At 34.8% G+C, this 12456-nt stretch overlaps 1 protein-coding gene across 18 annotated transcripts in view; it reads right to left on the bottom strand.

Moving 5' to 3' along the window:
• Nucleotides 1-12456, bottom strand: part of NPNT (nephronectin) — a 76201-nt gene that overhangs the window by 51674 nt on the left and 12071 nt on the right. For 9 of the 18 annotated variants that reach the window (XM_011531820.3, XM_017007984.2, XM_011531823.3 and 6 more), the window contains exon 3: nucleotides 7760-7810. The exons of 8 other annotated variants lie outside the window; for them this stretch is intronic. In XM_011531820.3, the coding sequence (XP_011530122.1) occupies nucleotides 7760-7810 (51 nt within the window). Of the gene's footprint in view, nucleotides 1-7346; nucleotides 7456-7759; nucleotides 7824-12456 lie in introns of those variants that run through there. One more of the 18 variants, XM_047449986.1, reaches the window with a different exon arrangement.

Below are 12456 nucleotides of genomic sequence, written 5' to 3'. Positions count from 1 at the left end.
TACAATCATCATTGAAATAATTAATTTGAGGAAAGATTATCCATAGATGTTAAAACTTTCACCAAGTGAAAGTTTGTTGGGGAACAGGGTATCAAAACAGTGTGAATGTATTACCCCACAGGTTACTTACTAATTACAAAGAAAAAAAGGTGCCTTTCAGTAGAGAAATCTGATGGATACCACTTCATCAAGTGATCAAACTTAATATCACCAATAGTAGGACAAACCAACATATGTGCACAAGGAATATCATAACAGATGATCATCTATATATAATATTCTTACAAATAAATTTAGTTCTAATCTAATGATGCAGAAACAACAGACAAATTTAAACTGTGGTAGATTCTACCAAGCAATTGATATGGACTCTTCAAAAATATCATTGTCGAGAAGCAAATAAACAAACAAAAGTGGTAGAATTGTTTTAAAGCAATTAAATTAAAGAGGAATGTCAACTAAATGCAGTGTTTGATTCTTAATTGGATCTGGATCAAAAAGAAAAAATCCATAAAAACCATTATTGGGACAATTAGGGAAATCTAAATATGGATTGTTTATTACATAGCATTATTATATCAATACTAAATTTTTTAAGTGTGAAATGATACTGTGGTTTGTAAGTAAATGTCCTTGCTCTCTGGAGATGAATGCTGAAGTGTTTAGGCACGAAGTGTCATTAGGTCTGTAAGTTACTTAAAAATGGTTGAGGGAGAAAGAGAGAAGGGTGAGGCGGGAAGGAAGAGAGAAAAAAAAATGTGTAAAACGTTAACAATAAGGATATATGGGTATTTACTGTTCCTATTGCTTCAACTCTTCTGTGGATTTAAAATTTTTTTAATACAAAACATGGAAGAAATATATAAAAAGGAGTACAATAACATGAATACACAGACAACTATTATTTAACTTGTGAGTAGTTGTTAACTTTTCAATGTAATTTAGAGAAAGGTTTACAAGCATAGATGCTGCAGTTAGACTGCTGGGATCCCAGCTCTACCACTCGGGAAATGTGCAACCTATACAGATTACCTAGCTTCTCTCTGCTCTCATTGCCATTTTTTATTTAAAAACCAGTAAACTCACAAGATTCATTAGAGATCTTACTCATAGGTTTATTGGAGGACTAAATGAGAAAACCCAAATAAAGTACTTAGAACAGTACCCATCTCATTAATAAGAGCTCAATAAAATGCTAATTATGATGAGGATTATAAGTATGACAAGGAGGAAACGCCCCAGTGTCTAAGACACTATATTAAAAATTGGGGATATAAAAATGAATAGGAGAGCAAGTTCTCATCCTCCAGCAGGTAAGTCTAGTAAGGAGAAACAGAAGTAAGCAGAGATGTCCTGATAACAGATGCATGTTAAGGACACAGAACAGGCAGTGATTAATTACACAGGCTTAGGAAAGTCAAAAAGGTTTGGAAAAGATGTAGTGCTAGAAAAAATTCTTTCAAAAAGGAAATATAATAGATATCTGAAACATAAAAGATATCTTTCATAATGTAAGAATTCATAGAATATGATGAAATACATTACAGTATTTCTTTCAGTTGAAAATTATCATTTTTTAAAACATCTGATACTGTAATTTTGAGCAGGTTTGCTAAAGAATCATCACAAAAGGCCAGAAAATTTTAATGTAACCATCATCACCTTTTTTAGCAACCAAAATCTCTATGTTTAAAAGAGTCACTGATACATGAGTTGAAGTATACATTAATTATTTTTAAAATTAAATCAATTTTGTTACTGGGCCTCGACTAATATGATGTCAGAGATTTGTCATTTTGACCTTCAGGTGTTTTTAGTTTGCTTATTTGTTTTCTAAAGAAAATGATAATTATTCCAAATTTATCTGTTGAAGAACCTTAAACAGAAATTTGAAAACAACTTAAATGTCCATCAATAAGAGATTGGTCATGTAAGTGATGGCACAACAGTCTTTCTGTGTCCAACATCATGGACTTCAATCCAGGCCTGAACTATTGTTAGAGGGACCTCCCTAACCCATGATTTCAGCATGCCATTCTGCTCCTTATACTCATTCACTGGCTCCTCATCATGTTCATGTAGATCATTATACTATTTCAAACACTCAGCATGGCATTCAGTACCATATTTCATGATATGACCCTTGCCTATCCCATTGGCCTCATTTCCAATCACATTCACAAATATAGCAGTTAATTGCAGTTCTTAGAAATACACTCTCGAGTACCTCCACACTTTCACATGGAATGCCATTCCCCCTCTTGTCTGCTACACTAATATCTAGACAGGCTTCACCTGTCAGTTTGACCATTATATCACCCCCAAGATTTTCACGCCTCATGCTGAGTTCATACCCTCTTCAGTGCTTTCATAAGCCTCTGTGCATACTTCTATCATAAATTATATGTATATACAGGTTTACTTTTAAATATATATATCTTATACCATATTTTCAGAGTTGTTTTTCTTATCTAGCTCCTTCACTAGACTTTGAGCTCTTTAAATACACAGTACTTGCTCTGTAGTGTACAGTCTCCTGACAAAGATAGACATGACAGGTGTACAAGGTGTTAAAAGAATACAGAAGAAGGCATTTCTCTGCAGGGAGGCAGGAATAGGAAAGATACCAGGAAAAACTTTCAAGAGGAAATGTGAGCTGAATTTTAAAGGATAAGTAGAAATTCACCATGGGAATGGGTGAAGGGCCTTTGACTCAGACTGAGCAGCATAAGAAAAGCCAACAGGCATGAAGCAGCAGAAGTCTGGAAACCCAAGGGCCGTCCACTGCGACTGGGCCTACAACAAGAAACAGTCCTCCACTGATAAGGCAATGTCAGCCTGAAAAGGCTTCTACTCAAATAATCAAGATTCTACCCATAATTGTGAACAGCCAATGGACTGTAAGCAGTAGATGACACAATCAGATTACCTTTATGTGATTTCAAGCACATAAATTGATTTCTGTTTAGAATCTAAAGCAAGAGTGAAGATCTATGATATGTAATAAGGTCATAAGGTAGGGAGACAAATATATTCATTTTCTCATTAAACTGTTTCCTGAAAACCACAATATGTTTATTAAGATTACATCTTGTCCATCTTTTTTTTAAATCCCTTTTATTAATAAATAGAAATGACTAGCTCTTACACCTTCAAAAGTGTACTGAACTGAACTGGACGAGGCATTGCAGAAGCTGTTATACTGGCGTAAAGATGTATAAGACACTGCCTCCACCTTCATGAAACTAATAGTCTAGCAGAACAAATAATATAGATCCATAAATAACCACAATGTAGGGCAATGTGAGATATGCTTCATGCAAGTGTTATATGTAGAGGAAGTACAGAAGACTTCCTGCTGTGAAAATCAGGAAAGCAGACTGGAGAAAGTGGCATTTAGGCTAGGACTTGAGGCAGGGCTCATTTTTAATACATTGTATTAGGACAGAATATAAACTTAAAAAATAAATGTGCTTGGCTGGGTACAGTGGCCCAGGCCTGTAATCTCAGTACTTTGGAAGGCCAAGGTGCGTGGATTGCTTGAGCTCAGGAGTTCAAGACCAGCCTGGGCAATATGGCAAACCCGTCTCTACTGAAAAAAAAAAAAAAAATTATATGGGCATGGTGGTGTATGCCTATAATCCCAGCCACTTGGGTGGCTGAGGCAGGAGAGTCCATTGAACCTGGCAGGCAGAGGCTGCAGTGAGCAGAGCTCGCACCATTGCACTCCAGCCTAGGTGACAGAATGAGACTATGTCTCATAGAAAAAAAAAAAAGTACGAATTCACTACTAACAATGATTCACTTTTAGTCAAATATTTTCTTAGAGTTAGGAGTGGTGGTGATGTAAAACAAAAAAAGGCAACCAAAAGAGGGAAAAAAAGAAAATATGTTTGTAGAGGATGACTTTTTTTCAGCCCTTGATATAAACAAATGTTGAATTATTAGTTGCTTACAATGCTTTGCCAAAACGGTAAACTGGAAAGATTTTTTTTCAAGAACTTACAACTATTAGATAACATTTAGCAGATGTGGAACACAGATTTTTACCTATCCCACATTCTTTTTCTACTGTTTAAAGCTGTTCCTCCGTGGAGATAGTTGTGGCAATAATCAATGTTGACTGAAGTTGACGAAGGAAAAGGAAGGAAGGTTTGAGTAGAATAGTGGAAAGAAATGAAATCATAGCCTGTGTTCTGTTCAGATCTCACCCTGCAATCCAAGCACATATCAAGTTTCTCTACTTCAAAGTCTCACAAGCGCTTCAAACTGAACATATCCAAAATTGAAATCATTATCTGCACCTTCTCCTGTGTTCTCTAGCTCACCAAATGATGTCCTAGAGACTTGGGAGTAATCTTGATTACATCTTCTTCACCTTTCACAACCAGCATTACAAATACTGCAGCCACCATGTTACTGAATGTGAATATAAGCCAGTTGCTGAGTCAAACGCTTTGGGTTTCCTCATTTGATCCTCATAAAAAGTCCTACTAGATAGGACTGTTATCTACATTTTATCAAAAAAGAAGCTGTAGCTCAGACTGTTTAGGTAAGTTTCTCAAAAACACAATTTGTAGTTGCAGCAAGTCTGTCTGCCAAGCCCATGTGCCCCCCCGCCACTGCCCTAACACTGTGTGCCTCTCCATCCTTTCTTTTCAGTATCTTTCAATCCCTCTCCTTCTCTTTGTTCCCACCACCACTACTTAAAATGAAGCCTAATTTCTCACCAGGTTGACTTCCTACAGGTCCCAGGCATTTGCACTAAAGGAAGTGAGCTCCACAGGGAAATGAGGCACATACTTCTTCCAAATGGGCCAGCTACTTAAGAGGCCCCAGCTGATAGACTCCTCGCAGCAATGCAGACCTACCGATTTTTGAACCAACCCTTATATCCGTGTCTCCTGTGAGACACTGACAACTACAAACACTCCAAGCAAAACTAAATTCACCTGAGTGCTAGATCTGATCCATTACCACCAGCTATCCTCTAAAATATTAATTTCTCTGCTTAAAATCTTTACAGTGTTCCTCTACAACTTTGTGATTAAGGCAAATGTATTTAATATGATATCAAAAGCCTTCCAGGAGTCCTTTCCCACTTCTCCCACTGCGTCTCTCATCAGATGCCCTTCAAACATATACCCCACATATGCTGGGTTGAGATTCTTAACAGTTCTCGGAATGTGCTCCTCCCTCTGGCTACTGAGCTTTAAATGCATTTTTCTGTGTGCCCAGGATACTCTTCACTTGACTGATTTATCCCTCGGGATTCAGCTGGGCCATCACCACTCCATCACTGCTGGTCTGGGCTACTGCCCCTTAAGATATGCTCTCACAGAATCCTATACTAAAACATGCCTCTTACCCAGTATTGCCTTCCTCTGTGGGCTTTCAATACTGATAGTGAGTGACGTGAATGCCTAGAGCTTCATTTTACTAGAATGATATCTGCAGTAGTTGGTCCTGGATCATGCAGGTAATAGCTGGCTCTCTCTCTCCATTATCTCTCTCTCTATATATATAATATATTATATATTATATTATGTATATGTAATATTTATATAATATATATATTATAATATATAATATATATTATATTATTTTTATATATTATATATATAGAGAGAGAGAGAGAGAGAGAATGGAGAGAGAGAGCCAGCTATTACCTGCATGATCCAGGACCAACTACTGCAGATATCATCCCAGTAAAATGAAGCTCTAGGCATTCATGTCACTCACTATCAGTATATACTGATACTATATACTAGATATACTGATAATATATATATATATAGTATCAACTGAATACCATTGAGTTCATGAAGTCTTCCTTGATCCTCTTCAGCAGGAAATGATTCTTTCCCTGAACTCCCTCAAATCTTTATCCCTAACTTTTTCCTATTTAAGAATCATAGAAGGAATAAGAGCCAATCATCTTACAAATTGAGTTGCTTGAAAGTAAGGGTCCCTGTTTTATTCACCTTTGTATCTTCCCAGCACCTAACTTAGCTCTTTACCTCTAGTAAGCTCTCAAATAATTATACGGATAAATTACAGGAACTCTAAATGCTCACATTCAACAATTCAATTCCATCTCCCTTCAATTCATTTCCCAAGCACAAACACTGTTAGACAACCAAAACTGTTCCACTCGGAGGTTTATGGATGGATATTATTAGAGAAATGGGAAAAACGGTTCAGAAGCACAGAAAACTATCCCATGAAAGTTTTGATTTTAGAAATGAATAACTGAAGAATTGTTCTACTTCCAATTGATTATTTCCAAAAGATGATTATGGTAAACAAAACCATTTGAAAATGTGCTGTACCATCTGTCCTAGGATGGATCCTAGTAAAACTCGGCTCAGAGTTCTCCATTTGTATTGTATATATTGAGAACACACTAATAATAGCAAACATCTGTCAAGAACTGTGGAAGCCACCTCCTTATAACCAGTAAGAATCTTGCAAAGTTAGATTTAAAGATTACAACATTGCAGCTCAGAAAAGTTAAAATGTCTAGTTTCTTACAGGTGGTAAGTCATAGGAACAGTTCCTGAACCCAGATGTTGGTGGCCAACCACACATTCTATTCTTTCCTTGGCATTGCCTCCCTAATGTAAGCCATAGCTCTACTAGTCAATCCTATAACTGCTAGTAACTTTAAAATACATATGCTTTAAGTCTCCCTGAACAAAGAAATTTCTGAACTTCTATTTCTAGTACTATCAATTTTGTTCCCAAATATTTTTTTTATTAAAATTCTGCCTTAAAAACATTTTTCATGACATGTGATAGTTTCTTCAATCAGTTTAAAGAACATTCTCAGGCCGGGTGCAGTAGCTCACACCTGTAATCCCAGCACTTTGGGAGGCCGAGGCCGGCAGATCACCTGAGGTCAGGAGTTCAAGACCAGCCTGGCCAACATGGCAAAACCCCATCTCTACTAAAAATAAAAAATTAGCCGGGCATTGTGGTGGGCGCCTGTAATCCCAGCTACTCAGGAGCCTGAGGCTGGAGAATCACTTGAACCTAAGAGGCGGAGTTTGCAGTAAGCCAAGATCACACCAGCGCACTCCACCTTGGGCAACAGAGCAAGGCTCTGTTTCAAACAAACAAACAAAAAGAACATTGTCTTCTTAGAATCAATTCCATTAAACATTACAATTCCACATATTTCACCAACGTTTTCCACTAAAGTGTCATAGGGTGATAAGTGACATTATTTACTGCCAAAAATATCTTAAACAAGGAACCCTTTATGTACCTAAAACAAGAGCATAAATGCCCGTAAGTGCTATTATAACTGATAACATATTTCATACAATAAAAATATTTCTTACCTGAATTGTTCCATGGAGAATTAATGAATATGAAATACAACTCCCTCAGGTTAATGATAGGCTGGTGTTAGTAATTTCATTTGGTGGACTTTGTTTTTATATTTGCTTCCTTAAGTATTAAAAACATAAACTGTCCTTTAGCTTAGAATGGAGGTCAATTTATTAGATTCATAAAACAGAAGAAAGGAATAATCAACTGAAACGGAAAAGTTTAATGTAATAATGGAATTAAAATTAACTTACTATAATTATGTATAGAATAAGCACATCTCTAAGAAATATAGTTTTCCTAAAAAGAAGCAATTCAAAAACACAACTAATGTTTTGTTTACAGCTTTGTAAAATTATTTAGAAGGTATGCCTTTCAAGACATAGATTAGCCAAAATTATTTCAAGAAATATGTTCATCTAACCTTTGAGCTGGCACCTTATCCTGGCTATTCTCTGCCTTAAGACGTAGAAAGCTGCAAAACAAATGTCCAAAAAAAGAAATTCCAGATCTTTTCTCTGTAAGGAGGCTGGACTTGGGTATTTATCAACTTGTTACATTCCCGGAGACTTACACATATTCAACTTTCAGTGCTTTTCTGAAACAAAAAAAAATCTAGGACATGTTTAAAATAGTAATATTTTAGTCACCATTTTGTTATAAAAAAACATTTCATAACAAAAATATTAACCAATAATTGAAGTTATGCTATTCTTCTATAGTCCAAATTCTAAATTTAAATATTTCAGACCTTTTGTGATGCTGTATTTTCAAATCCAATTTTTCATTTCCAGAATATTAATTTCTGATTCCTAGAGACAGTATCCTTTTATTTAAATTGGAGTTGGAAAACACATCTGAAAAAATTTAAACTTTTGATCAATTAGTAAGAAAGGCTAATAGTTTTAAAATTGATATATTTTTACTTACCTGTTTCTTACATACTGTATGTTCCCTTCTCTCTCCAACTTTGGGGAGGAAATATAATTTTTTTCTTCCCTTCCACAGCATTTTCTTCTTGCATGGCTGCTTTGGTTGTCAATAGCAACAAGAATTACCATGAAAGCACAGCCATTTCACTTGAACATACATAAATAACCCAGTTTGATGAAAGTAAAGGGAAGAAACTTGAAATGGTACTAATAATGGTCAGTGTTTGATCAACCTAGAGATTTTAGAGGTAAGAAAAGGGATAATTTTATTCTTCTCTGCTAAATTAATGCCTTTAAAGGATTAAATATCCACTGTAATTTACAATTGTATATTTATTTGTATAATTTGTATAATTTAAAATTAGGTGAATGGGGCCTTCCTTTGGGTAATATAAGAAGAAAAAAATTCTAAGTCCAATTTGATTTAATTGAAGCAATAATTTAACTATTGATCCAGAATGATTGCTATGTATTTTTAAAGACACAAATTACATTTGCTTGCTAGACTTTTTTTTTTCATATTGGTCAGGTTTCTACTGTTATTTTGAAAAGAACTCACCATATCTTGATGTTGACACATTCCTTAAATAGAATAATAAAATACATCAGGTACAATCTAAGCAAACAGCTGAAATCAAAGTGTAAATAGCAAATTACATTCTGGATCACACAAGTTATGACTATGGTTATATATGAGACAGAAAAAATATAAAAGGATACCGTTTCTTTAATATTCTTTAATTGCCAATTTTGAGTCATCAAATTTATCAGGAAAAATACTTTAAATTATTGTAAGCAAAGGTAAAACAACTTAATAAAGAATAGCAAACATCATTATGTTCTAACTAGTTGTATTAGTACCAAATAGCCAAACAGTTTTGTATAGTCTATTTTATCCTTGTAATATCTTAAGGTTGGGTCATATTTTTCCTACTTGGCATAAATTAGCCTTGAAATACATAGATCTAGTAAGTTTTATGGTATCAATATATACCCGACTTCAAGATAAAATTTTAGCCAATGTCCTATATTTTTTAATTTGCATTTTAAAACTACACAAAACTGCATTTTATGTCAAAGCAATGTTAAATCTGGAATAGATTACTTCTAGGAAGTTTCTGGGAACTATCCTCTATTGAAGGATAAGGAAATTTTTATATGCAACCATCACAACAATTTTTATGAAAGTTGCCAGAAATAAATGCCTTACATACAATTTTTTTTTTTTGCGGTATAAACCCCATTAAAACATTCACTAAAATAGGATTCATTCATAGCACATAATACAGAAAAATCTGTCTCATTTTCTCTTGATAATCTGTTGCTCTATGGCCATCATAAAATGGCCACAGTAGCAAATACAAGCAACATTTCAGCAAAGCTACTCAGGTAGTTTAGAATTCTAGAACTCTCTCCGGCAACTTGCCTAAGAACCCTTGCTTCAGTTCATCTGAAGGTTCTTTACTATACGTGGTTGGAATTAATAAGCACTCTGATGATTTTATGAAATTGTGACTCATAAACCAGAGAAACTAAACTATCTGGGGATTATGTTTCTTGCTTGCTAAACACAGGTTTATGGGTTTGGAGCCAGTCCTGAACTTTGGACCGTGTTAGGAAAATCAAGGATAAGAAACTTTAAAGAACTGAGCCTTTTTTTTTTTTAATCCAAAGGTATGCCCATCTTCTCATGTATAGTTTCATTTACTGTAAAGAATTATAAAATGTCTAAGTATTAGGCCAAGTGTAAACTTTGAAAAGAAATAATAAAATGCTACAGGCTAAGACTGCTGATGCAGTTACCATGTGACTCAGACTGGAGGCATACAGCCCCTTAAGCAAGCAGCACAGCATGACACACACACTTTGTTAAAGGTGATAAATGCCAGGTGCATGCATAAAAGGGAAAGGTCCTCCCTGACACAATGTACTTCTGCCTCTCAACCTTAATCATCAGCTAGAAAAAGCAATAGCTCTAGAAAGTTCTCCATACCCCAACCTTAATTTTCATGCTATATTTTTCATTGTCAAAAACAGTGATATTAGCCTGCAAACTCTTCACAGAAAACTACCTAACTCTGTACATTTATAACACCAACATCCAGGACAACAGACCCTATGGACAACAAGTTAAGTAGCAACATGGATGATCCTAACTTTCAGTACACTACTTTAGAACTATTAAAGATATAAAAAAATTCATCAGACCTCAACACAAGATTTAAGAACACAACATTTAGCAAACCTACACATTATTTCTTCATAATTTTATACTTTTATCCTAAAAAGTAATTGTTTCAAAAAACATTTTTGCCTTAGTTAGAAAATGAAACTGTACATCAGAATGTCTTAATTCTTGGCCATACATAGACACCAAGACACAATCTTTTAATTCTTCAATGATGTAAAAACTCAACCCAAGAGACAAGGGACCCTGAAACCACCATTATCTATGTCAAACTTCATAAAATACTTCTATAATCATGTGAACTTGAAATAATCTATCCAGTAGAAACTATTACCACAGTTAGTATATGCAATATAAAATCAACTCTAAACACTGAAATACACTAAAAAATACAACTAAACATAAGCTATGATTTTGTTTTTCTATTAATTATCAATGGCTTTGCTATTTGTTGGTATGTAAATATTCTGCTGATAATTACCAAGTACCTACAAAATCTTAACACTAAAATAAAATAGGAGGCACTAAACACTTTGGAACAATATTTTGGTGGGAAGTTTATGTCTGGAAAGTCCATCCATGGAGTTTGTTTCTGAAATTCAGCAACACACACCTTTGACCACTTAGGGGCTTTCCTTAGAAACTGAATTTAGGAACTTTGATTTACGAAAATAAGGTTAGTCCAGGCACGGTGGCTCACACCTGTAATGCCAGTACTTTGGAAGGCTGAGGCGGGCAGATCACGAGGTCAGGAGATCGAGACCATCCTGCCTAACATGGTAAAACCCTGTCTCTGCTAAAAATACAAAAAATTAGTTGGTGTGGTGGGCGGGTGCCTATAGTCCTAGCTACTCGGGAGGCTGAGGCAGGAGAATCGCTTGAACCCAGGAGGCAGAGGTTGCAGTGAGCCGAGATTGCACCACTACACTCCAGCCTGGGTGACAGAGGAAGACTCCGTCTCAAAAAAAAAAAAGGCTAAAGGTTTTTGAAAATCAACATGGTTTTTGGCAAAGTAAGCATAAATCCAAAATTCCTAGTTGTGTTTTCCTTTTGTATATATTACTACAAATTTAAACTGTGATGACATATTTCCTAACATTTCAGAGTAAGTGAATAACATCTACAAAAGGCAACCCTAATCTTGTGATCTGATGATGTTATAGCAAAGTAATGTCAGCTCTGGAGAATTTATATTATTAATCTACAGAATGGTTAAAAAGATATTGATCAAATGAAGTGTTTGGTTTTAAAATTTAGTTAAATCTTGACTCTCAACATGCAAATAACCCATGCCAAATCCTTATTCTCAAATTTGCACTCCCCTGGCATCTAGTATCTACCAAAGCTAATGTATGGCAGAAAATGAAGTCTCCTAATAAAAAATAATTGGAATAAAACGGTTTGTTCTCCAAAGCAACAACTATATTCTAAAGCTAAGAAATCATTTTTATTATTCATATCTGTTTCCTCCCATCAGAGTTAAGAATAACAGGTTGATTTAACAGTATTTCAGCAGGCTGTTTAAACTGAAATTCTCCAGAAAATTTATAAAATAATACAGAATGAAAAAATAGATGTCACTATTTTACCACACATCATAATGCTTTATCATGTCTGGCCTGTAATATACTCCTTCATTCTGGCTTTATTAGAAATTTTATTAGGAATTCTATTATGGCCATAATTCTTTAATTATGTATCAGTAGTAATTAAGTAATAAAATCAGAAAACTTAAAAAGAAGTTTTAGTGAATCAAAATAAAAAGTTTATTTGTATTTGATATTACTTAATGAATTCTTTACCTTATAACATACCAATTTTTAAATAACTGGTGTATTTTGCACCCCAATTTGCCCTGGCATGTTCCCAGGGATGCACCATCAATATGCTACTAGTATTTTTCTATGGTTGTAGCTGGTTATTGACATCACTTTGAATTTTTTTCAAGCCAAATTATCTTGGCTACATTTTACTATCTTTGAGGACTGATCATTTGTTTGT

The sequence above is a fragment of the Homo sapiens genome, chromosome 4 (genome assembly GCF_000001405.40).
Source record: "Homo sapiens chromosome 4, GRCh38.p14 Primary Assembly".
NCBI lineage: Eukaryota > Metazoa > Chordata > Mammalia > Primates > Hominidae > Homo > Homo sapiens.
This window is presented reverse-complemented; position numbering and strand designations above follow the sequence as displayed.